The sequence below is a fragment of the Homo sapiens genome, chromosome 5, assembly GCF_000001405.40.
Source record: "Homo sapiens chromosome 5, GRCh38.p14 Primary Assembly".
Classification (NCBI taxonomy): Eukaryota; Metazoa; Chordata; class Mammalia; order Primates; family Hominidae; genus Homo; species Homo sapiens.
In genome coordinates, this window is record NC_000005.10 from 91,301,874 (window position 1) to 91,322,759 (window position 20,886).

Here is a 20,886-nt window from a genome sequence, read left to right on the forward strand (position 1 = left end):
ATATGGAACAAATTTACCACTGAAAGTTAATCTCAGATATGTTTATGTCTTTTATTTATTTATTTTTTGACATAGGGTCTTGCTTTGTTGTCCAAGCTGGAGAGCAATGGCACGATCACGGCTCACTGCAACTTCGACCTTCTGGGCTCAAGAGATTCTCCCTCCTCAGCCTCAAAAGTAGCTGGGACCACAAGCACACACCACTACACTCAGCTAATTTTTTATTTTTTGTAGAGACACGGTCTTGCTATGTTGCGCAGGCTGGTCTCAAACTCATGGCCTCAAGCAATCCTTCCACCTTGGCCTCCCAAAGGGCTGGGATTACAGGGGTGAGCCACCATACCAAGCCTGTTTGCATCTTATTCCATTTGAAGCACAACTAAAAGGAATACTGTTTTGTCATCAAAACAATATTAAGATGGCATTTCTTTTACTTGTTGTTTTTACTGTTTTGATAAGTAGGAAACAAAGAAGTAAAGTTCGTTCTAGTAATTGAGTTGGTTCTAGTAATTTAAAACTAACAGTAAAAGAAAATCACAATGCTGTCAGTTCCAGCGGCCTTTACAGGAAGAGTGGTCGATCATAAATTCATTCTCATTGGTGGATGCATCGCCAACTAGAGGCAGGCCCAACAACAGCTTCTTCTGTTAGAGAGGCCCAAAGCTGGAACATTTCAGATAGATTAGCTGTGTTATAGTCAGTGGATGCAGCCCCAAATAGAATGCTGTTCACACTGAATTTTGACATATTACTCAACAAATAATTATTAGTGCCTGCTATATTAGCTATTATTGTTATTACTATTGTCAACTTTGGTCATTATTATATTTCCAATACAGAGATGAGTGCTCAACACATAGAAAACAATCAGTATGTATTTATTAAATGAATGAGTAGGTGACTTAATCAAGAGATAAGAATTACTACTTAAAGAAGAGTAATTTTGCCCATGTTTTACTGTGTAAAAACAGCACTTGATAACGAGCTATATTTATTTTCTTTCAGAACCCTTCTTTGCTAAAACTTTTTCTTCTGTCTCTACTGCTTAGAGTCAGTGAGCCCACACACTCAGGTTCAGGTTGATTTTCTTCCTATTTGTGGGTGTCACCTATGTATCTGCCTTTTCAGGCAGTGAAATCATTCCAAAAGTTCTTGTTGACTGCAAGAGCTTGAAGGCTCTTTATTTGTGAGGGGATGAGAATACTGGCATCCATTGTGTCTTATTTAGTGACTGAAATGTGTGACACTGAGCAAGGCCTTTATCCTCGGGTTGCCTCTGTTTATCCATCTGGAAAAGGAGAAGGACAATACTCACTTGTCTGGTATGGAAGTGATTGCCAAGGACTTTGTGATCCCCACAGAGAAGGTGACATTTTAGTTGCTACATATTACAAATGTTTTCCTTTCATTAATTAGGTGTTCAGATACAGATATTGAGCCAAAAATGAAAAAGGAGAGGTAGTCATATAGATTTTAATAATATGTACATGCCTCCTTTATGTGCTAACTTTACATTTGATTATTTATTTTTTCTTTTTTTTTGAGACAGAGTCTCACTCTGTCACCCAGGCTGGAGTGCAGTGGCGTGATTTTGGCTCACTGCAACCTCCACCTCCCAGGTTCAAGCAATTCTCATGCCTTAGCCTCCCGAGTAGCTGGGACTACAGACATGCACCACCACACCCAGCTAATTTTCCGTATTTTTAGTAGAGAGGGGGTTTTGCCACATTGGTGAGGCTGGTCTCGAACTCCTGACCTCATGTGATCCACACACCTCAGCCTCCCAAAGTGCTGGAATTACAGGTGTGAGCCACCGTGCCTGGCCAACACGGTGTAGATTGTAGATTATTCTTTAATCTACAATCACAGATTAGAGACCATTTAGTCCAGTATTTCTTAAACAGATCGTGCCTACATTCCCCTGTGTAATTTTTAAGTCTGCACATGCCCTGGCCCCACTTCATTTTCCCCTGGTTAAGAACCAGGGATCAGGACCAACCTCTCTTTTTTTAAGAAGTAGAACACTGAGGGACAGCTGGTAAGTGTAGCATCAGGACAAAAATCCTTATCTTCTGACATCTTCTGATGGGTTTTGTTCCTGTACAATATGAAATATCTAATTTATTTGTTTGTATTGATATATTTCAAGGTAACTTTTTTTTTTCTGGAGACGGAGTTTCACCCTTGTTTCCCAGGATGGAGTGCAATGGCACGATCTCAGCTCACTGCAGCCTTTGCCTCCCAAGTACAAGCGATTCTCCTGCCTCAGCCTCCTGAGTAGCTGGGATTACAGGCATGCTCTACCATGCTGGGCTAATTGTGTATTTTTAGTAGAGATAGAGTTTCACCATGTTGGTCAGGCTGGTCTCAAACTCCTGATCTCAGGTGACCTGCCCGCCTTGGCCTCCCAAAGTGCTGATATTACAAGCATGAGCCACTTTGCCTGGCCAAGCTAACTTTCTGTATACACATTGGCAGTAACCATTGAAAACTTGTCTGCCCTGCTTTATAGTTCCTAATTATTTTTACCCCTTTCCATTTCTTCTCTAATCTATAAAGGCTTCTGAGAGTCATCTTGCTGGAAATAAATTCAACCTTTTATAAATCTTCAAAGCACATTTAACCTGTATTATATTCAGGTATTTATCAATCAGTATCGTTCTGCATTAAAGAATTTTTGTCTTCCTTTCCCTAGTTCTCCAAGTCATGAACTCCTGGAAATAGAAGTCAATACACACATTGTCCTTAGAACAATAACAACAAAATAAGAGCTTATGTACCAGGCAATGTGTTAGACCAGTGGTTCTCAAACTTTAACAATCATTAGAATCACCTGGAGTGCTTATTAAAGTACTTAGTCCTGGGTCCCATCCCCAGAGTTTCTTATTTGGTGGGTCTGGTGCAGTAACAGGAATTTGCATTTCTATCCTATTACCAGGTCATGTCATTTTGAAAAACATTCTTCTGCATGGTCTAAATTTTAATCTTTGCTACTGCTCCAGTAAGTAAGTTTTATTATTCCCATTTTCTTTTCTTTTCTTCCTTTTTTTTTTTTTTTGAGATGGAGTCTCGCTGTCACCCAGGCTGAAGTGCAGTAGCGCAATCTCGGCTCACTGCAACCTCTGCCTCCTGGGTTCAAGTGATTCTCCTGCCTCAGCCTCCTGAGTAGCCGGAACTACAGGCACATGCTGCCATTCCCGGCTAATTTTTGTATTTTTAATAGAGATGGGGTTTTGCCATGTTGGCTAGGCTGGTCTTGAACTTCTAACCTCAGGTGATCTACCTGCCTCAGCCTCCCAAAGTGCTGGGATTACAGGCAGGAGCCACCGAGCCTGGCCTATTATTCTCATTTTCAAAAGAGTCACACAACTAGTAAATAGAAGGGGTACGATTGAATCTACCTCTTGATAGTGCTTTGGTCTTCCCCTTAGCACACCGTCCTCTTATTTTGGAGTTTCTCTTATATATCATAAGCCCTCAAGAAATATACACGGGATAGCCGGGTGTGTTGTCAAGCCTGTAGTCCCAGCCACTCAGGAAGCTGAGGCAGGAGGATCACTTGAGCCCAGGAGTTCAAGGCTACAGAAAGCCATGATCTCCATGATCGAGCCACTGCAATCCAGCCTCGGTGACACAGTGGATAAAAAAGGAGAGACAGAAATGTACACAGGAGGCCACTGAATTGTTTAGACCTGGAGATAGGCCTTTGCCTAGGTTCAACTGTGACACTGGGCAAATTACATAACCTCCCTCCCACCACATGCCTCAGTTTTCTCATCTGTGAATTGGAAATTCATAGTATTTACCTGTAGTACACATTGTAGTTGACTCCCCAAAATTCAATCTATTCCTCTTCCACTTTATAGCAATCAGTGTGGTTCAAGGAATTGCCACAGCTCTGAGAGTAAATTCTAATTAATTCAAATCAATTCAGATAACCCTAATCCTCTGTATGAGCCTTAGTTGATTACACAATAGTATTCCTTCCCACCTCCCAATAGCTACTGTTTAGTAGCTAAGCAACTGACTAAAGTTAAGCTAACTAAAGTTATAAGGAGGAGAAAGATTTTTTTTTTCACTTTTTTCATTGTTTGTAGAGGCATTCTCTCTCCTTTGCTCAACATAAATAAGGAGGTAGGGTCTGATGGCCCAACCTACAGAGAGGAGTTGATGTGAAGAGGAATCCAACACTGGATGTCAGGACAGAGGCAGAACCTGGGGGCCTGGAGACAAGGCAGAGATACAGGATTCATCAGCCAAACCTGAAGGTGCCTTCTCTCTAGACTCTCTGTTATGTGAGTCAAAAAATGCCCCATTGTTTTAGTCAATTGGAGTTTGTTTTTTTTTTTCTTCCTGTAACTTATAATCAAACACTCTGATAACCTATGACAAAGGATTAGTATACAATTAAATGAAGTAATGCATAAAGAGGTTGGGCATATAATAAAGACTTACCTCATGTGAGCTAAAACCACTATCAAGGCAGTTTCTAGGACCAAGAGCACAAGTGACCTTAAATGCCACTGAAAGCTCCCTTGGAGGTGTTCTCACCAGGAGGATTAGAGAAGCCAAAACAACCAGGTGAATATCTCTGTCAATGATAGACAACTTGGCTATAACAGGAAAAGATTCTAGAATTTATGGGATTATGGAACAATAAATAGAGTTAACTTTAGAAAGGAGATTTACAAAATAAGTAGCGGGTATGGATATTGCTAGTCCGTAGCTGATTAAGGCTCTGATTAAGTGAATTGCCCCAAGTCTCAGAGCAGACATAGGCCTAGTCCAAACTTAGAGCTCATATTACTTGCAGTGGATGTTTGTTCTCTTGGCTGTCCAGCAGGCCACCTTTTCCTTCAGGACACTGCTCTCCCACTGCATTTCACATGTGACTCGTTTGGGGCTGCCAAAATATATTTGGTTATCTTTTTTTTTTTTTTCAGTAAGCTAATACAAAATTACTGTTTCTTCAATAATTACTTTGCATTTATTGTCATCATTTCACTCCCAAATGTATCAAAATTAAAGTTTAAGAGGGAGGAAAAAAGGATAAGTAGAAGATCCTGATTACCTTTTAGTCATAGATAGTTTCATTATGTTATCTTTTAGGGTCTGGAATACACTGACCAGTGTATTAGACAAAATTTTATGAGAATTGGTTAAAGATATAGGGAAGAAATGTATTTGGAAAAAAACAAACCAAACCAAACCAAAACAAAACAAAAACCATTATTTTGAGAGTAAATACTTGGGGGGAAGAAGCTTGCAAGCCACCCGAATATGGCCTGGACTCTGGCGTGTGTGTGCGTGCTGGGGAGTATCTTGGTGTTGGACTCTGGCATGTGTGTGCGTGCTGGGGAGTGTCTTGATGGTGATGTTGTGTCATTGCTTCATTTTTGGCACTCAGTCACTACTCAAGAAAACCAGATTGAAAATTTGGAATCTGTGCTTCAGTGGATTGAAACTGGCCTCCAGTCACTAAGGAAAAAATCAAAACAAAACACACAAGAATTTAGAGAGAATATTTTTCTGCCAAAAAATAATTTTTCCTTTATGCTATTTCTTATTTGGGTCAATACTCCAATGGAAAAAATAGATAGATTGGTCAAGAGTTCAATATAATTTTCTGTGACATTTGAACTAAAGTAACTCATAAAAACTTAAACACAGGAAATTGTATCCTCTCCTGCTGATGTATGTGTGACTATTTGTCTCTCTTAAAAGAAAAAAGTAGAAGAAGAGAATTAATTGAATGGTATTTTGTTTTACTTGAGATGTTAAACTAATGTCAAACTAATTTATTTATTCAATAAATATTTATTAAGCACCTACTACATGCTGGTACTACAAGCCAGGTATAGATGCTTGGGATGTATTAATGAGCAAAACAAAACCAGTAGCAAACTTGTACACGCAGATAAGGGTTTCAAATATTGTTGGCATGGGCCAGGTGCAATGGATCACACCTGTAATCCTAGCACTTTGGGAGGCTCTTTAAATAGAGACCCCCATCTCTATTTAAAGAAAAAAGAAAAAAAATTATTGTTGGCACAGTCATAAAAATGGGAACAGTAGACACAGGGGAATACAAGATTGGGGAAGGGAGTGAAGTAAATGTTAAAAAAACTATCTGTTGGGTACTATACTCACTACCTGGATGACAGGTTGGATTCATGCATACTCCAAAACTCAGCATCATGCAATATACCCGGGTAACAAACCTGCACATGTATCCCCTGATTCTAAAATAAAAGTTCAAAAAATAAAAATAAAATAAAAATCATTGGGCTTCTGAGACTCATTTGTTAACTAATTTATTTTCTTGCTATTATTGCTATCATAATGCTTGGCTAAATAGCTGTTATAATTGCCTCAATTTTGAAAATATCAGGTTTGTTCGTTTGTTTGTTTTTGAGATGGAGTTTTGCTCTGTCACCCAGGCTGGGGTGCAATTGAGCAATCTCGGCTCACTGCAACCTCTTCCTCCCAGGTTTAAGCTATTCTCCTGCCTCAGCCTCCTGAGTAGCTGGGATTACAGGTACAAGCCACCAAGCCTGGCTAATTTTTTGTATTTTTAGTAGAGACGAGGTTTCACCATATTGGCCAGGCTGGTCTCGAACTCCTGACCTCCAGTGATCTGCCCGCCTCAGCCTCCCAAAGTGCTGTGATTACAGGCATGAGCCACTGCTCCCGGCCTCAAAATATCAATTAGAATCTAGCTTCCTGCCCTTTGTTGAGCCAAATGATATGATAGGTGAGGAGAACTGGGAAACTTAGAGGAGGTTACGTAGATCTTTACAAAAACAGAGGGGCTGACTCTGGGATAATATGGAGAATACTGGGGAAGAAAAGTATTATTCAAGTGAGGAAGAATCCACATAAAAGAAGAGATTGGGATTTCTTCTTTTTCTTACTTTCTTTCTTTTTTTTTTTTTTTTTTGAGACAGTCTCACCCAGGCTGGAGAGCAGTGGCGTGATCTCGGCTTGCTGCAACCTCTGCCCTGCCAGGTTCAAGCAATTCTCCTACCTCAGCCTCCTGAGTAGCTGGGATTACAGGCACACACCACCATGCCTGCCTAATTTTTGTATTTTTAGTAGAGATGGGGTTTCACTATGTTGGCCAGGCTGGTCTTGAACTCCTAACCTCAAGTGATCCTCCCACCTCGGCCTCCAAAAGTGCTGGGATTACAGGTGTGAGCCACCGCCCCTGGCCGACAATATCTTCTTGACAGAGGATTTCAACTGGAGGTCAGTTTAAGATTTTTACAATTGTCAAAAGAAGAGCAGGGTTTAAAAAGGCTGAGATACACTGAGCCATAGAATTATATCATTAAACATATGGCCATTGTCATACCTTGGAAAAATTGCTGGCTCTATCAGGTGCAACCTAAGTTATAGTAGTAGAAGTAGTAATGGTTTCAGTGTGTTGTCCAGGGTTTTTTTTTTGTAAAAAAAAGTAGTAATGGTAATAATAATGAAAGAAATAGTAGTAGTAATGACTTCCACTTACAAAAAGCTTACTGTTGGCCAAGCACCATTCTAGACAGTATTTCACTTTGAAAATGTCAATTATAATCTAGTTTCCTGTATCTTTATGAAATATTATTACTATTATTATTATTTTTAAGGCAGGGTCTCACTCTGTCATCCAGGCTGGAGTGTAGTGGGGCAATCATGGCTCACTACAGCCTCAACCTCTGAGGCTCAGGCAATCCTCTGGCCTCGCCTCCTGCATAGCTGGGATATAGGCAGGGTCTCCCTTTGTTGCCCAGGCTGGTCTCGAATTCCTGGACTCAAGCAATCCACCCACCCTGGCCTCTCAAAGAGTTGGGATTATATGCATAGGCCACCATAACTAGCCTAGTTTTCTGGGTTTTGTTAGTCAAATGATGATAGGTGAGGAGAACTGAAGAAATTTACAAGTTACATTGATCTTTATGAAAACAGGTGGGCCGACTCTGGGATAATTTAAGTCACAGCTCTTCTGTGGGGTGATTAGATTACTTGCACAACATTACAAAGATCTTCATCTATTCTTGGATGAATCTGTTGGGCATGGACCACTAGAGGAATAATAGATGCTCTATCATTAGGGATTCTAATCTACTCTGAGGAGAACAAAGAGCCTTTTACTCTCAGAATCAATTCTCAGGACCTCTACCTAGTTCAGAAGAGGCCTCCTCTGGTTAAGAGACCACATGCTGGCCAGGTGCGGTGTTCACGCTTGTAATCCTAACGCGTTACGAGGCCGAGGCAGGAGAATTGCTCGAGCCCAGGATTTCAAGACCAGTCTGGCCAACAGAGTGAGACAATATCTACAAAAAAAAATTTAAAAATTAGCTGGGTGTGGTGGTGCACCCCAGTGTACACACCTGCAGTCCCTACCTTGGGAGGTCGAGGCTGCAGTGAGCTGTGGTTAAACCACCGCTCTCCAGCCTGGGCAACAGAGCAAGACCCTGTCTCAAAAAAACCCCCAAACATATGTAAGCATATTCATCTACAAAAAATTGTTTTAAAGTTAAAAAATAAAAACAAAAATAAAATAAACAACAACAATGAAAAGAAAACAACCAAGAGACCCCATGTGTCCTGAGGTCCTGAGGTACTGGAGAGTCTCTAGACCCACCTAAGAGCAGAAACTTTTAGTCTATTTGAAACTCTAATTACAGAAGGAAACAAGTACCTTGGTGCTTTTGTCTTTGCTTGCAAATACAACAAAAAACTAATGGTAACTTTCTTTCTTTCTTTCTTTCTTTTTTTTTTTTTCTGAGACAGAGTCTCACTCTGTTGCCCAGCCTGGAGTGCAGTGACATGATCTCAACTCACTGCAGCCTCCGCCTCTCGGGTTCCAGCGATTCTCCTACCTCAGCCTCCCAGGTAGCTGGGATTACAGGCACGCACCACCATGCCCTGCTGATTTTTGTATTTTTAGTAGAGATAGGGTTTCACCATGTTGGCCAGGCTGGCTTACGAACTCCTGACCTCAGGTGATCAGCCCGCTTAGGCCTCCCAAAGTGCTAGGATTACAGGCGTGAGCCACCGCACTGGCCGTAATTTCTTTTCTCTTCCTTTCTCTGCTTCTTTCTTCTCTTCTTCTCTCCCTTCTTCCTTTCCTTCCGCCCTCCTTTCTTCCTTCTCTCCTTCTTTCTTTTCATGTATCTATTCAACAAACAAGTATTTAGAGCAGGAGTGTTCAATCTTTGGTTTCCTTGGGCCACATAGAAGAATTGTCTTGGGCCACACATAAAATACATGAACACTAACAATAGCTGATGGACTAAAACACATACACACAAATCTTATAATGTTTTAAGAAAGTTTACAAATTTGTGTTTGGCTGCATTCAAAGCCATCCTGGGCCACATGTGGCCCGTGGGCCTTGGGTTGGACAAGCTTGATTTAGAGCCTCCTTTATGCAACGCCAGGTGCTAGATGCTGGGGCTGCATGGTGAACAGAGGAAGGCCCCTGCCCCGGGAGACACAGCTTGATTCCCTTATGGTGTAGAACACATGAGCCATGAGGTCAGGAGCTGTGGGGTCTTGTTCACCACTGTACCCTCTACCCCTACCTAGCACAGCACATGGCAATAAGTACATGCTCAAAAATACTCTGAGTGAGTGAATACAAGTTGAGTGCTGCCACACTGATTAAAGGGTGCTCTTGAAGTCCCTCAGCTGGTAAATGCCACCCTGCAGACTGCCCAAGTTCCCCTCAGGAAAAACAGAACCAGTGTACATTCAGATCTTAAGAGTGGTCATCCGGAATACGTACCTTATGAAAAAGTAAGGATATTCAGGTTCAGTAATGATATACTTGGTTTGCAAATAACACACGTTCGTTTTCATGTTGCTAAAGACTCCTTGCTAGGAAACGAAACACTTGTAATTTAATATGCAATGTTCTCAAGAGTCTGAGGCCAAACCACCTCAAGCTGTGAATGCCTTGGCTCTGAAGAGCCAGTCAGGGTCAGGGCAGGGCAGCACTTGGCCTGATGCTCCTCCAGAATAAACCAAACAGCCACAGGAAGTGGTTTCTGTGATTCAGTAGGTGGCACACTTCCTTTTGAGTCAGAACTGAATCACAGCTGTGAGAGGCGAAAAATACCTATTTCTTTATCCCATACTTTTTCCCTATTCCCAGTGGTAAATTTATCACAGACTGTCATATAATGTATCCTGTTTAGTTCCGCGTATTTAAGCAAACAAAAAAAATTTGGCAAATCAACTACGGGGAGGCAAGAAAGGAGGGGAAAACACAGCCGACTGGAATTAATCCAAACGTCATTATGTCGTCACAGGGCCATATTCTCAGAGGTGATTGAAAGAATTGCCACAGTGATTTTGCTGGGGTCATTCAGGCCCCTGGTTCTCTCAACTGGAGTCTGACCCATTTCCAGTGAAAGCAGTTAGATCACACTTACATAAACTGTGTTGCTTCAAATGGGCCTGCCCTCCTCTTCACTCACTGACCCTGGCTTGCTTCTTGGCATGTCTGCTGGAAGGCCATTCTCTGTCTGTCCCAGGCATGGCCCTAGTTCAGCTGCGGGTGAAATTATCCTGTTCTGAATGTACTGAATGCTGCTGGCAATGCTGTAAATTGTTGTGAGGCTTAAGGAAAAACCCTGTAGATATCAACAAGTCATAAAAACAGGCGTATTTTCTCTTCGTCTCTTTCCCACTGTGTGTTTTATTCTTCAATATTAACAGTTCTGGGAATGTAAATGTATTTAACTATATTTTCCTCTGATGAACTAGATTTTAGTATATAATTTGTGGCTTCCTTCCATACCAATTTGTTCATATTGATAGCATGCTTCAGAACAAAGCTTCAGAGCTCAGGCTATACATCCTATAACACTCTTGGAAGACCAGTAACCAGACTGGAACCAGAAATCTTATTGCCATGTTAATATGTCATTTTCCTTCTGTGAAATATTCCAATAATGTAAAGAATGCAAGATTCAAAGTCACATAGACCCATGTACACGTTCAATCTACACCAAAGTTTGTGGAGCTGTGTGACCTTCAATAAGTCTCTTAACCTCTCTGAGCCATAATTTCCTCAGTCTGAAAAATGGGATGCTAACATAAGGCCAACATTACAGTGAGAACTAAATAAAACTTTTACATAGTGTCTAGGACAGCTCCTAGCTCATATTTAGTGTTTAAAATAAGCCTCTGATCTTTCTCTTTATTTACAATACCTTTTCATTGGGAGATGAGGACAGCATTTGGACACAACTGTACAGGCACGCTAAGTCTCATCCTTCCAAAGACGTCAGTCACATTCAGCCCCTTTAGCAGTTTCATCAACAGCATGTATAGCACATGTGATAGCAAACAGCAAGTTGGATTCCTTAATAAAGCAGTAAAGAAGGTCAGCCAGGATGTAGGCTTTAAAGCCAAGGCCAGCTCTTCTGGGCAGGACAGTTGTGGCTGATGTATGACAGCCAAATGTAATGAGAGTCCTCATTTGACATATTGAAGCGAGCACCTCAAGGATGGGCAGGGAAAAGAACCATCAGCAGTACTCACCACCAGAGCAGCAGTGAGTGCCCAGGTCAAACTGGACAAGGGCTGGCAGACAGGTGGAAATGTGAGTACATCGTTAGATTTGAAAAGGCCTTTGGCAGGGCACAGTGGCTCACGCCTGTAATCCCAGCATTTTGGAAGGCCAAGGCGGGTGAATCATGAGGTCAGGAGAACGAGACCATCCTGGCTAACACGGTGAAACCCCGTCTCTACTAAAAATGCAAAAAATTACCTGGGTGTGGTGGCGGGCGCCTGTAGTCCCAGCTACTCAGGAGGCTGAGGCAGGAGAATGGCGTGAACCCGGGAGGTGGAGCTTGCAGTGAACCGAGATCGCGCGCCACTGCACTCCAGCCTGGGCGACAGAGCGAAACTCTGTCTCAAAAAAAAAAAAAGAAAAGAAAAGCCCTTTTAAAATGTCCATCCTCCCATAACCCTTTGAAGCCTCCCACGTCCCCCCAGTTCCTCCCAAATGGCATATAAAAAGGGTGATGGCTTTTAGACAAAGGCAGTAGTACTCCCCAAACAGTTAAGGTCCAGAACATCATCTTGTATATACCTGTCTTAGAGCTATCACGTTGTGTACTGGAGTTTCCTGATTACATGACAGACTCCTCTGCTAGACAAACTCCTGAAGACAAGGAGGGGTTCTTATTCATCCTTTAGCCAAACCTTACCTGTAGCTCAGCATGTAGCCCATGGTAGATGCTGAACCAATTTTGTTAACGTGAGAGAAATACAAGAAAGCCAAGTCAGAAATACCATTGTTGCTGTTAGAAAACTTCAAAGAGGAATTTGTGGTCTCTGGTGCCAAGGTCCCATAAGAGTTCCAGCTGGGTGAGCTTCTTGTGAGGAAAGGAGCCAGAAGTCAGAACACATAGTGTGACAATATGAGAGAAAAGAGGATGAAAGCTGTTCTTAAATTGCACCTGTCTAAGGCAATCCGAGCTTGACACATGGTTTCTGGAGGTCTGGGCATTGTCTGAGTGGAGTGTTGATTGTATGTCTCCTGGAGCCTTCTGTTTAAATAACTGCCAGAGCAGGATGACTCAGCAGCCGGAGGATGAGATGCTCTTGATCTGCCGTCCTCTTTAAGTGACAAATCACATTGCCCTGGGTGTCTGTGGCAATCTCTGATATGACACACTCCTTCCTGCCAGCCCATCAACCAGGGTGGCAAGTCACAGTTACTAATCTGGAGACGGCTGAAAATTGCTGACAGGCAAGATCCCATGCTCCAAGTGTAGAGAATCATCTTTAAAATGAACTCTTGTCAATCTTGTCAATAGATTTTCTTTTTTTTTTTTCTTTTTTGAGATGGAGTCTCACTCTGTAGCCAGGCTGGAGTACAGTGGTGTGATCTTGGCTCACCGCAACCTCCACCTCCCGGGTTCAAGTGATGCTCCTGCCTCAGCCTCCCCTGGTAGCTGGGACTACAGGCGCATGCCACCACACCCAGCTAATTTTTGCATTTTTAGTAGAGACGGGGTTTCACCATGTTGCCCAGGCTGCTCCGGAACTCCTGACCTTAGGTGATCCGCCCACCTCAGCCTCCCAAAGTGCTGGGATTACAGGCGTGAGCTACCACGCCCAGCCTAGATTTTGTTACTGAGACTGAGTCTCACTCTGTTGCCCAGGCTGGAGTGCAATGGTGTGATCTTGGCTCAGTGCAACCTCTGCCTCCTGGGTTCAAGCAATTCTCTTGCTTCAGCTTCCTGAGTACCGGGGATTACAGACGCCTGCCACCACACCTGGCTATTTGTATTTTTAGTAGAAACGAAGTTTCGCCATGTTGGCCAGGCTGATCTCAAACTGCTGACCTCAAGTGATCCGCTCGCCTCGGCCTTCCAAAGTGCTGGGATTCTAGGCATGAGCCACGGCACTCAGCCTTGTTTCTGAAATGTAGAGACTGATTTTACATTTCTAGTCTGTCTCCATATCAAAGACTCCCTATTGTCTTCAGGATAAAGTCGAAATTCAATATCCTGACCATTAGGGTCCTATAGGAACTTATCTATACCTACCTTCCTAGCATAATAGAATCTTAACTTGTTTTGCTTTTTTTTCTACTTGATATCGGCTTACTTCTGTTTGTTTCTTTGTTTTTGTCCCTGGCAGATAAATGGTGACAGGACAAAGCTTTAAGAACGTGGCCTAGAGGCCAGGTGTGGTGGCTCACTCCTATAATCCCGGTACTTTGGGAGGCCGGAGCATGCAGATCACTTGAGATCAGGAGTTGGAGACCAGTCTGACCTAACATGGTGAAACCCTGTCTCTACAAAAAATCCAAAAAATCCAGATGTGTTGGTGCACTCCTATAATCCCAGCTACTCGGAGGCTGAGGCAGTAGAATCGCTTGAACCTGGGAGATGGAGGTTGCAGAGAGCCCAGATCACCCCACTGCACTCTAGCCTGGGTGATGGAGCGAGACTCCTTCTGAAAGGAGAAGAAGGGGAAGGGGAAGAGGAAAAAGGGGAAGGAGAAGAAGGGGAAAGGGAAGGGGGAAAAAAAGAAAAGAGAAAAGTGGCCTAGGAGGAAATCCTACCTAGTAGCTATTTCCTGAAAATTGCAGAAGTTACCATTATTAAAATTTAGTAGGCTGGGTATGGTGGCTCACACCTATAATCCTAGCACTTTGGGAGGCCGAGGTGGGAGGATCTCTTGAGCTCAGGAGTTTAAGACCAGCTCAGGCAAGAGTGACACCCCTGTCCTTACAAAAATATCAAAAAATTAGCTGGATATGGTGGCATGCACCTGTGTTCCCAGCTACATGGGAGGCTGAGGCTGGAAGATGACCTAAGCCCAGGAGATGGAGGCTGTGGTGAGCCATGATCATACCACTGCACTCCAGCCTGGGTGACAGAAAGAGACCCTGTCTCAATATAAGTAAATAAATAAATAAATATAAAATTTAGTAGCACAGTACTTTCATGTTGGTCATTAAAGAGCAGTATTCTCTAGATTTTTTTGTTTGACAAATGTTGGTCAACTTTCAAGTAGGGATTCAAGGATAGCTTAGATACGAGACTCAAAAACTATACCTATAGGAACAGAAAACTTAAATTTGTGATTTGGACTAGCTGCTCTGTGCTATGCCCGAAATAAGCTAAATAGGTTTCTAACTTTTTTGTTTGTTTGAGATGGAGTCTCGCTCTGTCACTCAGGCTGGAGTGCAGTGGCATGGTCTCGGCTCACTGCCTCCCAGGTTGAAGCGATTCTCCTGCCTCAGCCTCCTGAGTGGCTGGGATTACAGGTGCACACTGCCACACCTGGCTAATTTTTTATTCTTTTTGGTAGCGATGGGGTTTTACCATGTTGGCCAGGCTGGTCTCGAACTCCTGACCTCAAGTGATCCACTCGCCCAAAGTGCTGGGATTACAGGTATAAGCCACCACACCCAGCTGGTTTCTAACACACTTTTAAGCATTATAAATGCTTTAACTTGTCTGCAAGGGCTGATTCAAATTTCGGATTATGTTTTTGCAACCCCTGGTTCAGATCAAAGGAATGACAATCCACACTATCCATAACCCCACTATTCACCTCTACACCATCCTTCCTACTCACTGCAAACCGTTTTCTAACAGGAATTTCCTTGGCTACATAAGTATTGTCTCTGGCGAACAAGGACTTTGGGTCACACATTTTGTGTTTCCTCAGAGTTTAGTCCAGTGGGTCCTGTCCACACTGTGGTGCTTAACACTATTGACTTGATTTGACTTTGAAAGAGGAGCTCTCCACTTACCTCCAACCTTTGCAGATTCCACTCAAGGATAATTGTGAATTGTGGTTTTTTATTTACCCCCCAGAGTTTAATTACTATTTGCAATATTAATTTCTTTTGGCAGGCAGTAGTAATTTTACAAATCTCTTTTGGAGCCCAGAGGGAAATATTTCCACTTGAGATAAATGTTTGGGTAACAACAATGAAAACAGAAAATATTCAGACTTTTTGTGATTCTAATTCACTTGCAAGTTTTACTTTTTCTGCTTTGAGATATTCTGTAGCTATGAGTCCTTAGGAAATCCACTTTGGTTTACTTATAATAATTTTAAGCAGTATTTTAAAATGAAACAAAGTAAAACAACATGTTGTTTCATTAGGTTACTGTAAACATTTAAAAATACATATGTAAGGCTGGGCACGGTGGCTCACACCATTGGACTCCAGTCTGGGCAATAGAGTGAGACTCTGTCTCAAAAAAAAAAAAAAAAACAAAAAACACACACACATAGAAGAAACTCTGAAACATATAATCTCACAACCAAGGAATAACAATGGTAGGTATTCTGGAGTACACACTTTACAAAGTTGTTTGTTTGTTTGTTTTTGGAGTTGGAGGTGAGGGTAGGTGGGAAGGTGAAGTTGGGGGCGAGGTCTTTGTTGTTGTTTTGTTGTTGTTGTTTGAAGCAGGGTCTCACTCTGTCACCCAGGCTGGAGTGCAGGCCGCGATCTGGGCTCACTGTGGTCTTGATCTCCCTGTGCTCAAGTGATCCTCCCATTTCAGCCTCCTGAGTAGCTGAGTAGCTGGGACTACAGGTGTGTGCCACCACGCCCAGCTGAATTGTTTTGTTTTGTTTTTATTTTGTAGAGATGGGGTTTCACCATGTTGCCTAGGCTGGTCTCGAATTCCTGAGCTCAAGCGATCTGCCTGCCTCAGCCTCCCAAAGTGCTGGCATTATAGGAGTGTGTCACTGTGCCCGGCCATCAGAATTTTACTTTTATAAGGAATACTGATCATGCTAGTTTGTTAACTACTTTTCAAATTTAATAATAGATGACACACCCTTTTCTATAGCTATTTAATTGTTCTAACAATTTCTTTGGCTATAACAATTTATTCTTTTATGGCTTCATAATATATTTAGCCAAACCTTGTATTTCCCATTACTATATAATGCTACGAAGACAGTTTTGTAAATTAATATTTATTTGAATCTCCTATTCAGCCCTACATGTAGACTTCCTGAATTGAATGTCATGATATTTCTGAAGCTGTTTTTTTTTTTTAATAGATGGCGGTCGGGCACTGTGGTTCCCACATATAATCCCAGCACTTTAGGAGGCCAAGGGGGGCAGATCCCTTGAGGTCAGCAGTTTGAGACCAGCCTGGCCAACATGACAAAACCCCATCTCTACTAACAATATGGAAAAAAGAAAAAGATGGTTAACATTTATCTTTAGAAAATTTGTATCAACCTGGCCAAGCGCAGTGGCCCATTCTTGTAATCCCAGCACTTTGGGAGGCCGAGGCAGGTGGATCACATGAGGTCGGGAATTCAAGACCAGCCTGAACAATATAGAGAAACCCTGTCTCTACTAAAAATACAAAAATTAGCTAGGCATGGTGTCACATGCCTGTAAGCCCAGCTGCTTGGGAAGCTGAGGCAGAAAAATCGCTTGAACTGGGGAGGCGGAGATTGTGGGGAGGCGGAGATTGTGGTGAGCCCAGATCGTGCTATTGTACTCCAGCGTGGGCAACAAGAGCGAAACTCCTTCTCAAAAAAAAAAAAGAAAAGAAAAGAAAATTTGGGTCAACAGATACTCCTATGAGTGCTACGGATTTTTAGAATCACCGTGATAATCTCTTTCCGCTGCCAAATACTGTATGTGTGTGTGTGTGTCTGTGTCTGTGTGTGTGTGTCTGTGTGTGTGTGTGTGTGTGTGTGTGTGTGTGAATTAGCAAATATTTATTGTGCACCTCCTAAGTTCTAGGCACAGGAAGGGTGAACAAGGTAGAGAACTTACTTTAATTTTTTAATTTTTAATTAATTAATTACTTGTTTTTGAGACAAGTTCTGGCTCTGTCACCCAGGCTGGAGTACAACCTCTGCCTGCCAAGTTCAATCAATTCTTGGGCCTCGGTCTCCCCAGTAGCTGAAATTACAGGCGCCCGCCACCACGCCCAGCTAATATTTGTATTTTTAGTAGAAATGGAGTTTCACCATGTTGTCTAGGCTGGTCTCAAACTCCTGACCACAAGTAATCAGCACGCCTTGGCCTCCCAAAGTGCTGGGATTACAGGCGTGAGCCACCGTGCCCGGCCTATTTTTATTTTTTTATTTTAAGACTGGTCAAGTGCACTAGTGAGAAGTGGGGAAAAGTAGAACAGAGAACTTGAATCTTATTGATGGAATTGTGCAATGAACGAATTATATAATTTCAGGCTGAGTTATATGCTATAAAGAAGAGTAAAGCAGTATGTGTATGCATTTGTGTGAAACTGGATTGTGAAGTGGGGTATAATTATTTTTTTTTAATTTTAAAATAATGTCCTATTTTTATTTTATTTTATTTTATTTTATATTTTATTTCAACAGTTTTTGAGAAACAAGTGGTTTTTGGTTACATGGATAAGTTCTTTAGTGCTGATTTCTGAGATTTTGGTGTACCTATCACCCGAGTGCTGTACACTGTACCCAATATGTAGTCTTTATTTCTCACCTCCCTCCCACCCTTCCCCTCAAGTCCTCAAAGCTCATTATATCATCCTTATGCGTTTGCATACTCATAGCTTACCTCCCACTTATGGGTGAGAACATACAATGTTTAGTTTTCCATTCCTGAGTTATTTCACTTAGAATAATCATCTCCAATTCCATCCAGGTTGCTGTATGCCATTATTTTATTCCTTTTTATGGTTGAGTAGTATTTCATGGTGTATATATACCACATTTTCTTTATCCAGTCTTTGGTTTATAGGCATTTTGGTTGGTTCCATATCTTTGCAATTGTGAATTATGCTGCTATAAACACATGTACGCAAGTGTCTTTTTTATATAATGACTTATTTTCCTTTGGGTAGATACCTAGTAGTGGGATTGCTGGATCAAATGGTAGTTCTATTTTTAGTTCTTTAAGGAATCTCTGTACTGCTTTCCATAGTGGTTGTACTAGTTTACATCCGTTCAGCAGTGTAAAAGTGTCCCCTTTTCACCACATCCCATCCAGGTCAACTTTTTGTTTGTTTGTTTGTTTGTTTGTTTTTTTAGAGATAGGGTCTTACTTTGTTGGCCGTGCTGGCCTTGAACTCCTGAGCTCAAGTGATCTGCTCACCTTAGCCTCCCAAAGTGCTGGGATTAGGGGCATGAGCCACCACACCTGGCTCAACATCTATTTTTTAAAAATTTTTATTTATTTTATTTTATTTGAGACAGAGTTTTGCTCTTGTTGCCCAGGCTGGCACGCAATGGCGCCATCATGGCTCACCGCAACTTCTGCCTCCCAGGTTCAAGCGATTCTCCTGCCTCAGCCTCCCGAGTAGCTGGGATTACAAGTATGAACCACCATGCCCGGCTAATTTTGTGTTTTCAGTAGAGATGGAATTTCTCCATGTTGGTCAGGCTAGTCTCAAACTCTTGACCTCAGGTAATCCATCCCCCTCAGCCTCCCAAAGTGCTGGGATTACAGGCATGAGCCACCACGTCCGACCTCTTATTGTTTTATTTTTAAATTATGGCTATTTTTACAGGACTAAGGTGGTATACTATTGTGGTTTTAATTTGCATTTCTCTGTAATTAGTGAGGTTGAGCATTTTTTTTCATGTTTTTTGGCCATTTATATATCTTCTTTTCTTTTTTTTTTTTTTGAGACGGAGTTTTGCTCTTGTTGCCCAGGCTGGAGTGCAATGGTGTGATGTCAGCTCACCACAACCTCCACCTCCCGGGTTCAAGTAATTCTCCTGCCTCAGCCTCCCGAGTAGCTGGGACTACAGGCATGCACCAACACGCCTGGCTAATTTTGTGTTTTTAGTAGAGACAGGGTTTTTCCATGTTGGTCAGGCTGGTCTCGAACTCCTGATCTCAGGTGACCTGCCTGCCTTGGCCTCCCAAAGTGCTGGGATTACAGGCGTGAGCCACCATGTCTGGCCGGCCATTTATATATCTTCTTTTGAGTATTGTCTATTCATGTCCTGTGCCCACTTTATTTGTTTTTTTCTTGCTGGTTAGTTTGAGTTCTTTATAGAGCCTGGATATTAGTCCTTGTTGGAATGCGTAGTTTGTGAAGATTTTCTCCCACTCTGGATTGTCTGTTTACTCTGCTATTTCTTTTGCTGTGCAGAAGCATTTTAGTTTAATTAGTTCTCATCTATTTATCTTTGTTTTTATTGTTGCATTTGCTTTTGGGTTCTTGGTCATGAACTCTTTGCCTAAGCCAATGTCTAGAAAAGTTTTTCTGATGTTATTTTCTAGAATTTGTATGGTTTCAGATCTTAAAGTCTTCAATCCATCTTAATTTTTGTATAAGGTGAGAGATGAGGATTCAGTTTCATTCTTCTACATGGGGCATGACAATTATCTCAGCATCACATGTTGTATGGGATGTCCTTTGCCCGCTTTGTTTTTGTTTGCTTTGTCGAAGATAAGTTGACTATAAGTACTTGGCTTTATTTCTGGGTTCTCTATTCCGTTCCATTGGTCTACATGCCTATTTTTAGGGTATCAGTATTTTAGACAGTTGGTCAGGGAAGCCCAGTATAAGGATGCAGTATCAGAATAGAAACTGTTTCTAAAACTAAGACCTTTTTATTTCAGAAACGTTTGAATGTGGACAAGTGTATAGAGGAAATAAAAGTTACCTAATTAACTTATATTTAACCCTAGCAATTTGGTTTCTTTTATCTTTTAATGTGTTCAGTTTTTGTTTTCCTATACACATATCGATATATTCTTAGAATACTACTGGGCCAGGTGCAATGGCTCATACCTGTAATCCCAGCACTTTGAAAGGGAGGCTGAGGTGGGTATATCGCTTGACCCCAGGAGTTTGAGACCAGCCTGGGCAACATAGTGAGACCCTATCTCTCTCTCTTTTTTTTTTTTAAGATGGAGTCTTGCTCTGTCGCCCATGCTGGAGTGCAGTGGCTCAATCTCGGCTCACTGCAACCTCCACCTCCCAAGTTCAAGTGATTCTCCTGCCTCAGCCTCCCAGGTAGCTGAGACTACAGGCACGTGCCACCACGCCCAGCTAATTTTTGTAATATTTAGTAGAGATTGGGTTTTGCCATGGTGGCCAGGCCTGACCTGGCCATGGTCTTGAATGCCTGACCTCAGGTGATCTGCCCATCTTGGCTCCCCAAAGTGATGGGATTACAGGTGTGAGCCACCGTGCCTGGCCAAGACCCCATCTCTACTAAAAACACAAAAAATTAACCTGGCTTGGTGGCAGGTGCCTGTGGTCCCACCTTCTTGTGAAGCTGAGGTGGCAGGATAGCTTGATCCCAGAAGGCGGGTGCTTTAGTGAGCTGAGATCATGGCACTGCACTCCAGTCTGGGTGACAGAGTGAGACCCCATCTCAAAAAAAAAAAAAAAAGATACTATTGAACATACTGTGCATATGCTCAGCATAGGCACA

General features: G+C 42.2%; 1 long non-coding RNA gene across 2 annotated transcripts, besides 4 other annotated features; it reads right to left on the bottom strand.

Annotated features, from left to right (window-relative positions):
* Positions 1–1,112: 1,112 nt before the first annotated feature.
* On the bottom strand, positions 1,113–12,529 carry LUCAT1 (lung cancer associated transcript 1). Of its 2 annotated transcripts, NR_103548.1 has the most exons (5): positions 12,207–12,529; positions 11,765–11,904; positions 11,205–11,356; positions 2,000–2,098; positions 1,113–1,288 (listed from the first exon to the last, which is right to left on the bottom strand). It is a non-coding gene; the product is annotated as a lung cancer associated transcript 1 (long non-coding RNA). The 2 variants fall into 2 exon arrangements; NR_103549.1 differs by lacking the exons at positions 1,113–1,288; positions 2,000–2,098; positions 11,205–11,356 and adding an exon at positions 9,041–9,159.
* Positions 9,403–10,602: an enhancer, noted in NCBI's record as "P300/CBP strongly-dependent group 1 enhancer chr5:90607093-90608292 (GRCh37/hg19 assembly coordinates)". NCBI's record gives its function as "activates an origin of replication core promoter dependent on BRD2, BRD4, P300/CBP, MED14 and CDK7 cofactors, with strong dependence on P300/CBP, by STARR-seq in HCT116 cells {active_cell/tissue: HCT116}" and the evidence as "EXISTENCE:reporter gene assay evidence [ECO:0000049][PMID:35650434]".
* Positions 9,965–10,509: an enhancer, noted in NCBI's record as "H3K27ac hESC enhancer chr5:90607655-90608199 (GRCh37/hg19 assembly coordinates)". NCBI's record gives its function as "activates a minimal SCP1, AML or CMV promoter by ChIP-STARR-seq in naive H9 embryonic stem cells {active_cell/tissue: H9 hESC(naive)}" and the evidence as "EXISTENCE:reporter gene assay evidence [ECO:0000049][PMID:30033119]".
* Positions 11,954–13,153: an enhancer, noted in NCBI's record as "MED14-independent group 3 enhancer chr5:90609644-90610843 (GRCh37/hg19 assembly coordinates)". NCBI's record gives its function as "activates an origin of replication core promoter dependent on BRD2, BRD4, P300/CBP and CDK7 cofactors, and independent of MED14, by STARR-seq in HCT116 cells {active_cell/tissue: HCT116}" and the evidence as "EXISTENCE:reporter gene assay evidence [ECO:0000049][PMID:35650434]".
* Positions 12,041–12,828: an enhancer, noted in NCBI's record as "H3K27ac-H3K4me1 hESC enhancer chr5:90609731-90610518 (GRCh37/hg19 assembly coordinates)". NCBI's record gives its function as "activates a minimal SCP1, AML or CMV promoter by ChIP-STARR-seq in primed H9 embryonic stem cells {active_cell/tissue: H9 hESC(primed)}" and the evidence as "EXISTENCE:reporter gene assay evidence [ECO:0000049][PMID:30033119]".